This window comes from Homo sapiens, chromosome 17 (genome assembly GCF_000001405.40).
Source record: "Homo sapiens chromosome 17, GRCh38.p14 Primary Assembly".
NCBI lineage: Eukaryota > Metazoa > Chordata > Mammalia > Primates > Hominidae > Homo > Homo sapiens.
The window spans coordinates 7498711-7515414 of record NC_000017.11 but is presented as its reverse complement, the minus strand read 5'-3'; the positions used below and the strand labels follow the sequence as shown (position 1 = coordinate 7515414).

The following is a 16704-nucleotide window of genomic DNA, read 5'->3' as shown; positions in this document are numbered from 1 at the left end:
GGCCAACACTGTGAAATCCCTTCTCTATTAAAAATACCAAAGTAGCTGGGCATGGTGACGGACATCTGCAATCGCAGCTACTTGGAAGGCTGAGGCAGTGAGAATTGCTTGAACCCAAGAGGCAGAGGTTGTAGTGAGCCGAGACTGCGCCACTGCACTCCAGCCTGGGCAACAGAGCGAGACTGTCTCAAAAAAATAAAATAAAAATAAAAATACCTCAAGTAAATCAGAAATGACTTGCAGAGGATGTAGAACATTGATACCACATTAAGGTGCTAATGAAAGGGGGAAAAATAGCCGGCTAAAACTAGCGTATTACCCCCAAGTCCTTTTACTTCAGCTTCTGTATTACAACATCTATATAATCTTTTCATTCTTGGTTTGAGGCCAAAATCAAAGTACATTTTTGTTCACTTGTTAGTGACTCAAGAAAAGTATAGGAAAAAATACCAAAGAAAGTATGCCTCCTAGTGGTGGGATTATGGGTGATCATTTTTCTCCCTCTGCATTATACTTTTCTACACTTTTCCAAATTATTTATGACAATCAGTAAAACAAGTTAAAAAGCTGTTATGGTCAATATCACCTTAATAGAGGACAAGAGCTGCATCTGTTGTGACTATAACAAACTCAGTACAGAGCAGTGCCTGGCACAGAGCAGGGGCTGTGTGTGGGCTGACTGTAAGGTACCCTCCCATTTTCCTGGTCCCCTCCCCCTAACAGATCAAGCAGCAGCCCAGGCAGGAGGCAGGGGCCTGGGGGTCTCCTGAACCCCAATGAAGCACTCGATGTACATACTTTTGGTCAAAATTAGTAAACTTTATTTAAACTTCAAAAAAATAAAATAACAGACAAAAGGCAGCTTTAGCTTTGTTCTTCCCGAGGATCAGCTGTAACCACTCACAGCAGGAACTACCCCTAAGTTAAAATACCCTTTACCCGCCCCGCATCAAGCCACAGGCAAGGAAGGATCTTCAATTTGGGGACAGGCAGGGGGTGGGTGGGGTAGGAGTGAGAACACCACTGGGCCAGTGAGTTCTAACAGCACAAGTGGAGAACAAGACAAGAGTCTGCATCAGAAACGGGATCCAGAAGTTCACCGGGAGCTCTGCCACAAGGCATTTATGTACAACGGAGCTGGGCTGGGGGTGACGCCCCGTGAGGGAGGCAAGAACTGCACAGCAGCACGGGCAAGCTGCCCTGGGCCCTAGCCCGCTGCCGCACCCCACGTGCCCTCAGTTCTCCTCGTCACTGTCATCCGGGCTGATAGCCGGGCTTGTGAGACTGTAGGTGGGGCTGGTGGGCGAGTAACCAGGGGAAGTGGGAGAGTAGGTTGAGCCTTTGGGGGAGGTGGGCGAGTAGGTGGGGCTGGTGGGCGAGTACTTGGGGGAAGTGGGCGAGTAAGTGGGGCTAGTAGGTGAGTACTTGGGAGAGGTTGGGGTGTAGACTGGAGAGGTTGGGGAATAAGTAGGAGATGTTGGGGAGTATTTTGGGGTGGTGGGTGAATAGGTGGGACTGGTAGGCGAGTACTTGGGAGAGGTGGGTGAATATTTGGGACTGGTAGGTGAGTACTTGGGAGAGGTTGGGGTATACTCTGGGGAGCTGGGACTGTAAGAAGGACTGGTTGGGGTGTACTTGTGGGTGAGGTTGGGCTGTAGCTGGGCGAGCTGGGGCTGTAGCTGGGTGAGCTTGGGGTATAGGTTGGAGACTGTGGTGTGTATCGTGGGCTGGAAGGGGAGTAACTTGGTGAGGTCGGGGAATAGCTGGGTGATGTTGGAGAGTAGCTTGGAGAGGTTGGGCTGTAGTTAGGGCTGGTAGGTGTGTAGTTGGGACTAGTAGGTGAATAGCTGGGTGATGTCGGGCTGTAGCTGGGTGATGTTGGGGTGTAATTGGGACTGGTTGGAGAATAGTTCGGGCTGGTGGGTGAGTAACTTGGGGAAGTGGGTGAGTAGCTGGGGGAGGTGGGTGAATAGCTTGGAGAGGTAGGTGAGTAGCTGGGAGAAGTGGGAGAATAGCTGGGTGAAGTTGGCGAGTAGCTGGGAGATGTCGGCGAGTAGCTGGGAGACGTTGGCGAGTAGCTAGGGGAAGTGGGCGAGTAGCTAGGGGAAGTGGGTGAGTAGCTGGGAGAGGTGGGCGAGTAGCTGGGAGAGGTGGGCGAGTAGCTGGGAGAGGTGGGTGAGTAGCTGGGAGAGGTCGGTGAGTAGCTGGGTGACGTTGGCGAATAGCTGGGTGATGTGGGACTATAGTTGGGACTGGTTGGAGAATAGGATGGAGAGGTAGGGGAGTAGGAGGGTGAAGTGGGGGAATAAGAGGGACTCTGGGGTGTGTAGCCCCCAGGAGAGCGGGGCTCGTAGGCAGGTGACGTTGGCGAGTAGCTGGGAGACATGGCACCACCTGTGGGGAAGCAGCCAACAAAGGAGATGAGCAATGGACAGACTCACCCAGAACTGTGGAGGAAACAAACCTGGCCTGACAGATGGCGACAACTCACCTGGTGAAGGGATGTAGGGGCTTGAGGGACCTGGGGACCCCGGGGAGCCCGGTGTGGGAGACCAGGCAGGGGAGTAACCTGGGCTGAAGCCGCTGGCATCTGACGCAGCACTGGGAGAGAAGCCGGCTGCCCCTGGGGTCATTCCACTCCCTATAGAGTGAGAGAAGCAAGTTAAGGCCAGAGCGGGAGACCAAAGGCCCCCAATTCTCCCTGCCCCACCTTTCACTAGCCCTCTGCGGCCTTCAGAGTTCCAACAATGGCTACCGTTCACGATCCCAGCTTATCCACCTCTGAACCACCTGGAGGGCCCTCTTCCTGGATCAGGTTACTCACCAACACTGGGGGACCAGGCGCCATAGGCAGGGGTTGCACCCTGGTTCCAAGGTGTCATGGCAGGAGAGATTCCACCCATGGGACTGGGTGCTGAACCAAAGAACATGCCGGTGGCTGCAAAGAGGAACACAGGAAATCGTGAGGAGCAAGAACAGCAATCATGGACTGGTGACACCCTTGCACCCATGGCCTGCCCCCCCGCCTCGCCGACGCAAGCAGGTACCGCAGCTGGGGCCTCATACTCACGTCCAGCAGCCCCCAGGCCGGGGATATTGGTGGGGATCTCCATGCCATACTTGCACTTCTCTGCATCAAGCAGGAGGTCAAAGCAGCCAGTGCCGGCCGGAGCCAGCTGGCCCAGCATGATATTCTCAGAGACCCCCTTCATGGGGTCACTCTCACCGTGTGCGGCTGCTTCCATAAGCACGTCCACCTGAACAGAGCAGACCGGCCCCATGAGACCCCTCCACACACAGCACCTGACTGTCCCATCACCACAGCCCAGCTGCCCAAAGTGTGTGCCCTTCTTCTCACACTACTCCCTCCTTCTGCCCTATTCAGAAATTCCACTGTTACCGTTTCCTCAAAGGAACACTTCATGAGTGGTCCTGTGTCCTGGCGGTTGACTCCGTGTCGGGTGATGGCCATCAAGTGGCCACGACAGGTCATGGTATCACACAAGAGAGCCAAGTGTCGGTAATTGACATAGGAGCCATCAAAGGAGATGACGTGGTACAGCTCCCGCTCCAGGGCCTTCCGCACGGCTTCAATGCCCAGCACCTGGCACAGGGGAGGGAAGTGGAGGGGAGGGCCAGGACTGAGCAACTCTGCTCTCTTCCCTGCTTCTGTCGCCACCCAGATCCAGGGAGGGTGTCAGGAGCCAGGATATCCCACACTCAGAAATGGAATCAGGCAGAAAAAGTCCTGAGTGGACAGCACAGAATGAGGGGCCTGAGAGCCAGAGATCCACGAAAGGCAGCTAGGCAGCACACACGGGCTCACCGTGAAGATCTCCACAATGTCATTGGACGTGGTGCGTACGGGGTCCACGTCCTTCTCACTCAGCACCCGCATCAAGCTCACGCCGTCCGTCTCCAGGATCCACTCCTGCAGGGCCTTGAATTCCCCATCCTCCGTGATGATGATCTTCTTCTTGTTGTCTGTCTGTGGCAAGTGCATGTACACCTGTGGGAAGACAGCGTGCTCAGAGTAGGCAGGGAGGGGAGTGTGGGAGTGGGAGGAGGAAGGCGGTGGCAGAGGGGATGGCTGACCTTGCTGATCTGCTCGATGCCCTGCAGGGTCATATCTGTCAGCATGTTGGACTCGATGCAGCGCAGGAAGACATCATCATCCATCTTGTCCACCACCTCTTCCTCCTGCAGTGAGAGTGAGGTCAGCACTTGGCATCCTCTGGTCTCTTCCCCAGCTCTCGCCTCCAACTACAGCCTCTTTGAGGGCCAAACGAGTCAGTCACCAGGCTCTGCCCCTCACAGTTCCAGTGAGACTTTTTTTTTTTTTTTTTTGAGGTGGAGTCTCGCTGTTATCAGCCTGGGCTGGAGTGCAATGCCACGATCTCAGCTCACTGCAACCTCTACCTCCCATGTTCCTGCAATTCTCCAGTGAGACTTTTAATCCTGATTTTACAATATTAAAAGAAGCCTAAGGAAAGGCACCCAAATCCCACCACCCCGTCACAACTTCCACTCTTGTGCAGTCCTGCGCCTAGCGAGAGGCGGGCTCCACGTACATGTCATATCCTCCCAACTGCTGTACCCGAGCACACACCATTCCCTGCTCTGGCACTTCACTGTGTGTTCATCTAGGCTGCTGCTGGCATGACAGTGATCACTTCTAATGGCCATATACTGTATTCCATCAAGACCTATCAATGCTTTTATAACTGTTCTCTGACAGCAGTTCAGCAGTTAGTGAGTTCTTCAGTTTTTTGTTTTTGTTTTTTTAGAGATGGAGTTTCGCTTATTGCCCAGGCTGGAGTGCAATGGTGTGATCTTGCCTCACCACAACCTCTGCCTCCCATGTTCAAGCATTTCTCCTGCCTCAGCCTCCTGAGTAACTGAGATTACAGGCATGCGCCACCACGCCCGGCTCATTTTGTATTTTTAGTAGAGACGGGGTTTCTCCATGTCGGTCAGGCTGGTCTCGAACTCCCGACCTCAGGTAATCTGCCCGCCTTGGCCTCCCAAAGTGCTGGGATTACAAGTGTGAGCCACCATGCCCAGCCTGAGTTCTTCAGTTTTTATTACTAAAGCACCAGGTACCAACATGTGCCAAACAAGTATCTCAGGAGCCATGCCCAGGAGTGAAGTCACTGATCCAGCCTTTTCATGGGTCTTGTTATGGCTGTCACACGACTTCCCCTAGGACATAGCAATGCCTACTGCCCAACCTGCCCCCAAGTCTGGCCCCTGCCTCAGGGGTGGGGCTTGTATTCCCTAAGCAAAGCAAGCTGCAGGAGCCTTGGGGGAGGAGAGCCAAGTGACAGCGTGACAGGGAGGCACTCCTATCTCCTATTTCAACACCACCTGTTTTATCTACTCGGCCGGTGCTGTGGATTTTGAAAATCGTTGCTAATCACCATTCCCTATCCCTAAATTAGGTGGGTATGACTGGCCCCTCAATGTTTTTTTTATTTTTTGAGATAGTTTCACTCTTGTTGCCTCAGCCTCCCAAGTAGCTAGGATTACAGGCACATACCACCATGCCCGGCTAATTTTTATTTTTAGTAGAGACGGGGTTACTCCATGTTGGTCAGGCTGGTCTCGAACTCCTGAGCTCAGGTGATCCACCCGCCTCAGCCTCCCAAAGTGCTGGGATTACAGGCGTGAGCCACCGCGCCTGGCCGCCCCTCAATGTTGATTGCATCTTCTTTTCTTTGGTCTCTAACGTGATTCATGCGTTTTATACATGTGACACGCTGACTTCTAGGACCCCCATTACCTCTTGCATCTTGTTCTCATCGCTGTTCATGATGCGAATACGGAGCACCAGCTTCTCTGCATTGTCATCATTAAAGATGCAGTTCAAGTCGTCACCAAAACCTGGTGGGGTGAGGAGCCATGAGAAAGGCTGCAGCTAAGGGGACTGGCCCCAGCCACTGTCCACTCGCAGCTCTCTCTGAGCAAGGCTCTCTTTTGGCTCCCCGCTCCTCACAGAAACTTTCTTTTCATAGAACCCCCTGGAAAGGGGAAGGGAGAACATTCAGAAGAGAAAGGGAGTGCAGAGGGGACCTGGAGAGTTGGAGGATGCCTCGGAGGGGCGGAACTGGTACATGCATGGGGGTGAGGGTGGGTAGCTCTTTGGGGGCTCAAGTGCGGTGAACACGATAGGTGGTAGCCCAGAGAGCGGGGCTCCTGAGCCAGGCCAGCCCTCCTAGGCTTACCAGCATTGATCTTTTCAGCAATCTGCTCCATGGTGAGCTTCCGGTCAGTCATGTGCTTCCGATCCAGCTCCACCCGCAACAGCCAGGGGGAGATTCGGGCCACATCAAAGTCAGGCATTTCATAGTAGACATTCACCCATTCCTGATCCTCTGCCACCACCGTGCTCTGGGGGTTGGGGTCATAGTAGATGGCTGTGTTGGCAGTCACCTTCCTCAACGTTGTATGCTCCAGACGGCACAGAATATCCTGGGAAGAGACAGAAGTCCATGACACAGGGAACTGAGTAGCTCTAAACGTCTCTTCTAACCCTCCTTATCAAGGGAATCCAAAACCCTTTATTCAAGGGGAAAAGTTCTCCTTTTTTTTCTTTTTTTCTTTCAGATGGAATCTCGCTCTTGTTGCCCAGGCTGGAGTGCAGTGGCACAATCTCGGCTCACTGCAACCTCTGCCCCCCAGGTTCAAGCGATTCTCCTGTCTCAGCCCCAACTAGCAGCTGGGATTACAGGCACACACGACCATGCCCGGCTAATTTTTCTATTTTTAGTAGAGATGGGGTTTCACCACCTTGGCCAGGTTAGTCTTGAACTCCTGACCTCAGGTGATCCACCTGCCTTGGCCTCCCAAAGTGCTGGGATTACAGACATGAGCCACCATACCCAGTTGAGTTCTCCTTCTTTTCTTCCGGCCAAAAAGCCCAGCAGTCCTGATCCCTACCTTGGCTCTCTCAGCATCTCGAGCGGACTGGCCCAACAGGAAGACAGTAAGCGAAGGAGTCTTTGGCTTCTTGGAAATGTTGATGAGCTCCTTAAGTCGGGGCACACCCAGCGTCACATTCTTGGCAGACACACCAGCATAGTGGAAGGTATTCAAGGTCATCTGGGTGGCAGGTTCTCCAAGGGACTGCGCAGCCAGAGCCCCCACCATTTCCCCGGGATGCGCCTAAGAAAAAGCTAGCATCAGACAAAGCCAACGCCTCTCTTTCAGTGAATGAGTACGATGTGGATCTGCATCTGGCTTATCACAGGGCCAGGACTGTAATCTTAAAGGACATGGGTAGATGAGTTCGGAAAAGGCAGACAGACTCTTAACAAAAACAAAACTCTTATTTGATCATCCCCTTCCTCACACAAGAGCTTCCATTTATAGGACGCCATTTGGCACCTGGTATGCAGCACATCCAAAGAAAGCTACTATACCATCTGAGATCCAAATTTTTTCGAGACGGAGTCTCACCGTCGCCTAGGCTGGAGTGCAATGGCACGATCTCGGCTCACTGCAACTTCTGCCTCCCAGGTTCAAGCGATTCTCCTGCCTCAGCCTCCCAAGTAGCTGGAATTACAGACGCGTGCCACCACACCCAGCTAATATTTTTTTGTATCTTTAGTAGAGACGGGGTTTCACCATGTTGGTTAGGCTGGTCTCAAACTCCCGACCTCAGGTGATCCACCCGCCTTGGCCTCCCAAAGTGCTGGGATTACAGGTGTGGGCCTCTTCGCCCGGCCAAGATCCAAATTTCTAAACCTATGTTAAAATTACTCCGTAAATATTCATTTTATAACAGTTAGCTAAATAGGAAGCTCCCCGTATGTGTTATGAGATAGTCACATACGAAATTAAACTTAACTGGAATCACAGTATCTAACTTTTTCAGACTAATTTCTTCCATTAAGCAAGTATACATTTAAGGTTCATCACTGGCAAAGACAGAATTTCGTTATGCTGCCCAGGCTGGTCTCAAACTCCTGGGCTCTCGTGAGCCTCCTGCCTCGGCCTCCCAAAGTGTTGAGATTAGAGTTATGAGCCAGTGCATCTGGCTTATCACTGTCTTTTTGTGGCTTGACAGATTTTTTTTTTTTGAGATAGAGTCTCACTCTGTTGCCCAGGCTGAAGTACAGTAGCATGATCTCAGCTCACTATTGCAGCTTCAACCTCCTGGCCTCAGGTATCCTCCCACCTCAGCCTCCCAAGTAGCTGGGATTACAGGTGCACTCCACCACACCTGGCTAAATTTTTTGTAGAGATGGGGTTTTGTCATGTTGCCCAAGGGTGGTCTTGAACTTCTGGGCTCAAGCAATCTTCCCACCTCAGCCTCCCAAAGTGCTAGGATTACAGACATCAGCCACTGTGCTTGGCTGTCCGTTACTTTTTTTTTTTTGAGATGGTCTCCCTCTGTCGCCCAGGCTGGAGTGCGGTGGTGCAGTCTCAGCTCACTGCAACCTCTGCTGCCTGGGTTCAAGTGATCCTCCTGCCTTACCCTCCGAAGTAGCTGGGATAGCAAGCATGTAGCACCACACTTAATTTTTCTATTTTTGGTAGAGTTGGGGGTTTCACCATGTTGGGCAGGCTGCTGGTCTGGAACTCAAGTCATCTACCTGCCTTGGCCTCCCAAAGTGCTGGGATTACAGGCGTGAGCCACCACGTAGGCCCAGCCTGTTCATTACTTTTTATTGCTGAATGATGTTCCCTCATATGGACATATCACATTTTGCCTATCCATTCATCAGTGGATGGACACTTGTTTTCACTGCTTAGCTACTGTAACACTGATACGAACATTTGTGTATAAATGTTTGTGTGGCCATATGTTTTCTGTTCTCTCGTGTGTGTGTGTATAATCTCTCTAGGAACGAAACTGCTGGGCCATATGGTAACTGCTTTAACTTCCTAAAGCAGTTGTACCTTTTCTACTAGCAATGTATGAGGGTTCTAATTTTTCCACATCCTTGTCAACACTTGTTATTATCTGTGTTTTGGATTACAGTCATCCTAGTGCATGTGAAGTGGCACATCACTCTGGTTTCATTTGCATTTCCCTGATGGCTAATGATGTTGAGTATCTTTTCATGCACTTACTGATCATTTACATGAATAGTACTCTTCTTTGGGGAAACATGTTTTTTTTATTATTTATTTATTTATTTATGTATTTTTTAGTAGAGACGGGGTTTCACCGTCTTAGCCAGGATGGTCTCAATCTCCTGACCTCGTGATCTGCCCGCCTCGGCCTCCCAAAGTGCTGGGATTACAGGCGTGAGCCACTGCGCCCAGCCTGTTTTTTTATTTTATTACTATTTTTGAGACAGAGTCTCACTCTTGTTGCCCACGCTGGAGTGCAATGGCACTATCTCGGCTGATCGCAACCTCCACCTCCCAGGTTCAAGCGATTCTCCTGCCTCAGCCTCCCGAGTAACTGGGATTACAGGCATGTGCCGACATGCCCGGCTAATTTTGTATTTTTAGTACAGACGGGGTTTCTCCATGTTGATCAGGCTGGTCTCAAACTCCCAACCTCAGGTGATCCACCCGCCTCAGCCTCCCAAAGTGTTAGGATTACAGGCGTGAGCCACCACGCCCAGCCAGGAAACATTTGTTGAAATCCTTTGAGACTTTTTATTGTTGACTTTTTATTGTTATAGTCCTTTATATATTCTTTATGTATGGCCCTTATCAGATGATTTCCAAATATTTTCTCCCATTCTCTGTGTTATCTTTTTACTTTCTTGATAGTGTCCTACGAAGCATTAAGTTTTAAATTTTGATGAAGTCCAATTCATCTATTTTTTCCTTTGGATGCTTATGCTTTTGGTGTCATACCTAAGAATTCACTGCTAAGCCACAGTCATGAAGATTTATTCAAGTTTCCTTATAAGAGTTTTATAGTGTTAGCTCTTCAATTTAGGCATTTTGAGAGTTTTTGTACATGGTATGAGGTAGGAATCCAACTTCATTCTCTTGCATGTGGATATCTAGTTGCCCTAGCACCATTTGCTAAAAAGAGTATTCTCACCCCATTTAATTAAATTGGGACTCTTGCAAAAAATCAAGTGACCATAAATGTGAGGGTTTATTTCTGGACTCTCAATTCTACTCTATCAGTCTTTATACGTATCCTCATGACAGAAGCACAGTCTTGTTTACTGTAGCTCTGTAGTAAGTTGTGAAATCAGGAATGTGAGTTCTCCAAACTTTTGCTACTTTTAAATATTGTTTTGGCTATTCTATATCCCTTGCATTTCCATATGAATTTTAACATCAGCTTAATAAATTTCTGAGAAAAAGCCAGTTGGAATTTTGATAGGGATTATATTGGATCTATAGCTTATTTTGGGAAGTATATTAACAATATTAATATTCAACAATATTAAGTCTTCCAATCCATGAATATGAGAGGTCTTTCATTTAGGGTTTTTTTTTTTTTTTTTTGATACAGTCTCACTCTTGTTGCCCAGGCTGGAGTGCAATGGTGCAATCTCGGGTCACCGCAACCTCCATCCCCGGGTTCAGGTGATTCTCCTGTCTCAGCCTCCAGAGTAGCTGGGATTACAGGCATGTGCCACTATACCCTGCTAATTTTGTATTTTTAGTAAAGGTGGGGTTTCTTCCTGTTGGTAAGGCTGGTCTTGAACTCCTGACCTCAGGTGATCTGCCCACCTCGGCCTCCCAAAGTGCTGGGATTACAGGCATAAGCCACTGCACCCGGCCTCATTTAGGTCTTTTACAATTTCTTTCAGCCATGTTCTATGGTGTTCCCTAATACATTTTTAATTATTTAATTTATAAAAACTGACTTACAGTAAACAGGTTCAGAGGTACGCCTGTAACAGTGCTTTACCCTCTTACTATCCTATAAAATCCTTAAAGCCAGTGAAAGCACATTCCAATAGCCATAAATCTTTTTTTCTATTTACTCTCTCCAACTCCCTTTTTGAGACGGAGTCTTGCTCTGTTGCCCAGGCTGGAGTGCAAAGGCGCACTCTTGGCTCACTGCAACCTCTGCCTCCTGTGTTCAAGCGATTCTCCTGCCTCAGCGTCCTGAGTAGCTGGGATTATAGGCACACGCCACCACGCCCGGCTAATTTTTGTATTTCACCCTTGTTTCACCATGTTGGTCAGGCTGGTCTCGAACTCCTGACCTTGTGATCTGCCTGCCTCGGCCTCCCAAAGTGCTGGGATTATAGGTGTGAGCCACCCCACCTAGCCCCAATTCCCTATCTTTATCTAAATTAGACCCTGCACACAGCAGAGAGTGTAGAGAAAAAAAAAAAGAACAATTCTCCTATGTCATATCCCAGTCATGCCACTTACTTCCTATATGACCATCACACAATCCAGTCACTCTCTCCAAGCCTCAGTTTTTGTCTCTGCAACATGGGACTAACAAACCCTCCCCTACTAGGAGTGTATTAAAGCCATGATGGTATAAAGCGATAATGGGCCAAACACAGGACTTGGTAAGGTACAAGCAGTCTCTCCATGAATGAGAGCTATTATTAGGTGGGACAGAACCTACAGAACCTATTCTGTAGGTTGTGGACAGAAGTGGGCTGCTCTTGGAAACCACAGAAGTCAACAGGTAAAAGGAGGAAAAGAAGACTGCTGTGAAGAGCACAACACTCACAATGGCTTGGTTGAACTTGGACTCAATCTCCCCAAGCAGCCAGTCGAAGGCCTCCCCACTGAGCCGAAACTCCTCTGCCATGCGGCGGGAACACAACGTGGACCGCAGGTGGATGTTGAAGAGCAGCGTGGCATTTTCCTGGGCCTGTCGACTTAGTGGGTCATCCCCATTCACAATCACCAGCTTCTTGCTCAATTCCTTGACTCCTGGGGACCAATTAAAGGTGAGGAGATCATTAGACCAGGGCCCAGCAGTCTCCTATCCCCTAGCCTGGCTTGGAGACCCCTAAGCAGGTACTTACCCTCCACCACTTTGATGGGGTGCAGGTCGGAGGGAAGGCGTGGGTTGATGTGGAAGATTTTCTGAGCATTCCAGATCATCCGCAGCAGGTTACAGGGGAGGACGACCTGAGAGAGGGGGAAATGGAGGGAGGGCTGTGTCTGGGGACAGCCATCCAGGGAGGCACATCTCTAGCATCAGCACTTCGACCCACACGCACCTTGCTGTCTCCAGTTGGGAAGATGACCCTGAGCACCTCCCGATCCTCCCGCATCCGCTCAAATTCCCGCTCCAACTCGTTCTGGATGTGTGCGTTGCTCAGCACGTCCTTCACCAGGTCCTCCTGCAGAGTGCGCCGCAGGGCCCTCTCATTGGTATAATCAAAGCGGAACCTGGAAGTGCAAGGGGTAGCTAGTGGACAGGTGGGCTCTGGGACCTTGGTCCCCACAAAACGCACTGTAAGGTTCCCAAAGGTGCACAGCCGACCAAGTACAGTGGTTTGGAGGCAAGAATCCTGGACAGAGAAAAATTCAGGCCCAAGGACTGCCACTGGGACCTGAGTACAGGCCCACCCCTCTGCATCTGCTTTATAATATCAGCAGGGACGATGTGGGGACCAATCTTAAATCCACCTCCATCCACCACCTCCCCCATGTCACACAGCTGTTTCAGATAGGTGGGGAAGGATGCTGAAAGGTAAGCTCTAGTGCAAGACACATACCAGGCTATCTCTCTGGAATAGGTATGGGAATCCTACTACTCAGGCCCTGAGCCCCAGGGGCGAGAACCACCCGCCTGCCCGCCTCCTCACTTCTTCTCAAAAGCCTTGTTGGAAGGCTTAAGCGTAGCCAGGTTCTGGAACTCAACGCTCTCGCCTGCCAGGCCGTCTTCGCCGTAGCGCAGCTGCACCACCTGGTTGATGGAGTTCCGCACAGTCGCGTCGTACTTCACCATCACTGACTCCATGGACTTGATCAGCCGCCGCTGGATGTATCCTGGAGGGAAGTAAGGGGATGATAAAGCCCAAAGACCCAGGCTGGGGCCTTAACCTACCTGACTGTCAGAAGAGTCAGCTAGTACTCTCTGTGTCTGAGGCCTTTGAATGCAAACTCAGTGTCTACCACTAGACGGACAAAAAGCCCAGCAGGAACCACTCCCATGGGACAGGCCGGCAGAGCCCCGGAAGCTCTGTCCCTGCACTGTGCAATGCTGCACAGCAATCCAAACAAGGGTGTTTGCCTACTCTTGAGACTCTATTCTTTCCACAAGGGCCAGAATTATACCCTGGGAATAGGAGCCTGAGCATTTCCGCTCCCCACCTGTTAGGGGTTTCTCAGCCTGCAGCAGTCCCTGCTAACAGCCCAAGGAAGACCCCTGAGGAAAGCCTCACCAGTCTCAGCAGTCTTGACAGCCGTGTCAATGAGCCCCTCACGACCCCCCATGGCGTGGAAAAAGAACTCAGTGGGTGTGAGGCCGGCTAGGTAGGAGTTCTCCACAAAGCCACGGCTCTCAGGCCCGTAGTCATCCTTGATGAAGTGAGGCAGAGTCCGGTGCTTGAAGCCAAATGGAATCCGCTTGCCCTCGACGTTCTGCTGTCCAACGACAGCAATGACCTGGGAAACAGAAAGGTGGTGTATACTGAATTCCCTCTGCCTTAAGAATAACAGTTCCCAAAATTTCCCCCAACTCCCGTGATTCTCCTGACCCTAATACATACAAACACCTTCCTTCCTCCTCCCAAACTTCACAGCGGCCCCGTATATGGAAAAACAAGGCTTCTCACCTGGGAGATGTTAATCTTGGAACCTTTAGCTCCGGACACGACCATAGACTTGAAGTTATTGTATTCAGACAGGGATTTCTGAGCAGAGGAGCCAGTCTTGTCTCGGGCATCGTTAAGAATGCGGTTCACCTGATTCTCAAACGTCTGCCGCAGAGTGTTCCCTGGGGTGGGCTCCAGCTCATTGTTGTGTGCCTTCTCGATGACCTGGAGGCAGAGTTCTCGGTGAGACATCAATCCCTACTCTCTGCCCCTTCCCTCTAACCTTACACTCCCTTTGCTCTTGATGATGCTAACTTCGAAGTCCCTGGAAACCCCTTATTCCGTCTCTGGTGGCCTCCCCTCTTACCTCTATTACGTCCTGCTTGGCCTTCTTAATAGTGTTCTGAATGTCCTGGTAAGTCTTAGAATCAGCAATGGAGTCCCCAATGCCAATAGTATGACCTAGAGACAGGGAAAAACATCAGCAAACCCCTTTGGACCTCTAAGAAACATGGAATGGAATTATAGCCAAGAGAGTAGAAGCAGGGGGCACCAAATCCAAGGAGGAAAGAAAGGGATGGAAGGACAGTAAGAAGTTAGAGAATTCACAGAGACGTCTTGGTACCACGCCTCCATGCTCACCCTCGATGAGGAGCCAGTTGTTAATGACAGTCTGAATGTTGGAGTAGAAGAGGCGAGTGATGTCATGACCCATCTCTAGGTAGGAGATGTGGACCAGGGAGCCAGCTGACGTGCCCAGAGACTTCTTACACAGGATGCCCATGATCAGCTCCCCATTCTCCACCACCACCTAAGGACAAAGCACCCACTCAAGGCCCCTGCTCTGGTCCTGGCTCCCACGTCCAAATTCTGTCCTCACATATCCAGAAGCCAAGCCCTACCTTGGTGTCCCCAGGAGAGATGTGCTTGTAAGGGCCACTGTCTTCATCATCGGGATGGGTGCTGTGGGTACGGATACAATTGATGTGACCAGGTATGATGAGGGAGAAGATTTGCTTGCCTGTCCACAGGGGCCGGGGCTTTAGGATGGCCGGCTGTGGGACCTTCCCATCCCACGTCGACAGGAACATCAGGAGGTTCATCACTTCACCCTGTAAGACAAAGAGTAAGGCAGACAGAAGTCAGAGTGCAGGCCCCACATCTCAGGGATGATAGAGAAATGTTGGGGAGGTTTCCCTGCCCAAGGGAGAAAGCCAGATTTTGGAGGCAAAGATGACAGGAAAAGTTTTTTCCAACCTTTAATTTTTTGAGACAGGGTCTTGCTGTTTACCCAGGCTGGAGTGCAATGGTGCAATCAGGGCTCACTGCAACCTCCGCCTCCTGGGGTCAAGCAATTCTCCTGCCACAGCCTCTCAAGTAGCTGGGATTACAGGCACCTGCCACCATGTCCGGCTAATTTTTGTATTTTTGGTAGAGACGGGGTTTCTCTATGTTGGCCAGAGTTGTCTCCAACTCCTGGCCTCAAATGATGTGCCTGCCTCGGCCTCCCAAAGTGCTAGAATTACAGGTGTGAGTCACCATGCCCAGTCCCAAAAACTTTTTTTTTTTTTTTTTTGAGACGGAGTCTCGCTCTGTCGCCCAGGCTGGAGTGCAGTGGTGTGATCTCGGCTCACTGCAAGCTCTGCCTCCCGAGTTCACGCCATTCTCCTGCCTCAGCCTCCCAAGTAGCTGGGACTACAGGCTCATGCCACTACGCCCGGCTAATTTTTTGTATTTTTCAGTAGAGATGGGGTTTCACCGTGTTAGCCAAGATGGTCTTGATCTCCTGACCTCGTGATCCACCCGCCTCGGCCTCCCAAAGTGCTGGGATTACAGGCGTGAGCCACTGCGCCCGGCCCCAAAAACTTTTAATTAAAAATTCATTGTAATACTGAAATTTTTGTTTTTGTTCTTAACAATAAGCATAAATTTCTTTTAATAATTAGGAAATAAGTGAAGGTTAAAATAGAAAAATAAAATTTGAACAAGGTCTTACTTATTTTTCCCTTTATCTTTCCTTTACAGGCAATACCTGGTATTACATGAAATTTTAAGGAATTAAATGGGGAATTAACGCCTTACACCTTTTTGGCCTGAGTTTTCCTAACCCCCTTTTTGTTCGCCCACCAGAAAAGACAATCTCACAGACCACTGCTGGGTAAGTCAGGAAAAAAAACACAGCTCTTCCTCTCTAGCCTCCACCTTGCACCCCAGAGCCCCACTGCCCACTTAAGCCAGGTTTCCATTTGGACCACACACCCGCTCCAGGAAGACGTCTCTCTTGGTGAATTTGCGCACTGCTGTGAGTGTGTCCTGCACAATACCCATGACAGGCCGATTGCTCTGGGGGGTGACAATCATGCGAGGAACCATGGCCAGCTCCTGGATCTCTGCTCGCGTCTCCAGAGACTGTGGCAGGTGCAAGTTCATCTCATCCCCGTCAAAGTCTGCATTGTACGGAGTTGTCACACTACAGTTAAAGAGAAAAGTCAGGGTTGGGAAGATGTCTGCAGCGAAACCTTGAGGAGCCACCCAGCCTGCCCGCCTCCCACCAATTCCAGCCTGCTTCCCTCAGCCAGGGACTGACCTAAGATTCAAGCGAAAGGTAGACCATGGGAGAATGCGGACCCGATGCCCCATCATGGACATTTTGTGCAGAGTTGGCTGCCGGTTGAAGATAACAATGTCCCCATCACACATGTGCCGTTCCACCTAGAGAGGTGAGGTAAGGAAAAGGTCTCAGTGAAGGAGGTATCTAAGAATAAAAGGACAATGGACCTAAAGTCCTTTGCAAGTCCAGTGCAGTGGCTCACACCTATAATCCAAGCACTTTGGGAGGCTGAGGCGGGCACGTCACTTAAGCTCAGGAGTTTGAGACCAGCCTGGTCAACATGGTGAAACCCCATCTCTACTGAAAATACAAAAATAAGCTAGGTGTGGTGGCGCGCGCCTGTAATCCTAGCTACTCGGGAGGCTGAGGCAGAAGAATCGCTTGAGCCTGGGAGGTAGAGGTTGCAGTGAGCCAAGATCACAGCACTGC

At 50.4% G+C, this 16704-nt stretch overlaps 1 protein-coding gene across 1 annotated transcript in view, besides 2 other annotated features; it reads right to left on the bottom strand.

Moving 5' to 3' along the window:
• Nucleotides 799-16704, bottom strand: part of POLR2A (RNA polymerase II subunit A) — a 30251-nt gene continuing 14345 nt past the window's right edge. The window contains 22 exon segments of the mRNA NM_000937.5: nucleotides 799-1636; nucleotides 1639-2394; nucleotides 2492-2641; nucleotides 2825-2938; nucleotides 3071-3257; nucleotides 3401-3604; nucleotides 3827-4009; nucleotides 4096-4200; nucleotides 5783-5883; nucleotides 6225-6471; nucleotides 6940-7164; nucleotides 11624-11829; nucleotides 11925-12030; nucleotides 12123-12294; nucleotides 12714-12897; nucleotides 13293-13515; nucleotides 13686-13889; nucleotides 14032-14126; nucleotides 14307-14475; nucleotides 14567-14776; nucleotides 15924-16134; nucleotides 16252-16376. Of these exon segments, the coding sequence (NP_000928.1) occupies nucleotides 1236-1636; nucleotides 1639-2394; nucleotides 2492-2641; nucleotides 2825-2938; nucleotides 3071-3257; nucleotides 3401-3604; nucleotides 3827-4009; nucleotides 4096-4200; nucleotides 5783-5883; nucleotides 6225-6471; nucleotides 6940-7164; nucleotides 11624-11829; nucleotides 11925-12030; nucleotides 12123-12294; nucleotides 12714-12897; nucleotides 13293-13515; nucleotides 13686-13889; nucleotides 14032-14126; nucleotides 14307-14475; nucleotides 14567-14776; nucleotides 15924-16134; nucleotides 16252-16376 (4578 nt within the window). The 3' untranslated portion in view covers nucleotides 799-1235.
• Nucleotides 2949-4148: an enhancer, noted in NCBI's record as "CDK7 strongly-dependent group 2 enhancer chr17:7414586-7415785 (GRCh37/hg19 assembly coordinates)". NCBI's record gives its function as "activates an origin of replication core promoter dependent on BRD2, BRD4, P300/CBP, MED14 and CDK7 cofactors, with strong dependence on CDK7, by STARR-seq in HCT116 cells {active_cell/tissue: HCT116}" and the evidence as "EXISTENCE:reporter gene assay evidence [ECO:0000049][PMID:35650434]".
• Nucleotides 12449-13648: an enhancer, noted in NCBI's record as "BRD4-independent group 4 enhancer chr17:7405086-7406285 (GRCh37/hg19 assembly coordinates)". NCBI's record gives its function as "activates an origin of replication core promoter dependent on BRD2, P300/CBP, MED14 and CDK7 cofactors, and independent of BRD4, by STARR-seq in HCT116 cells {active_cell/tissue: HCT116}" and the evidence as "EXISTENCE:reporter gene assay evidence [ECO:0000049][PMID:35650434]".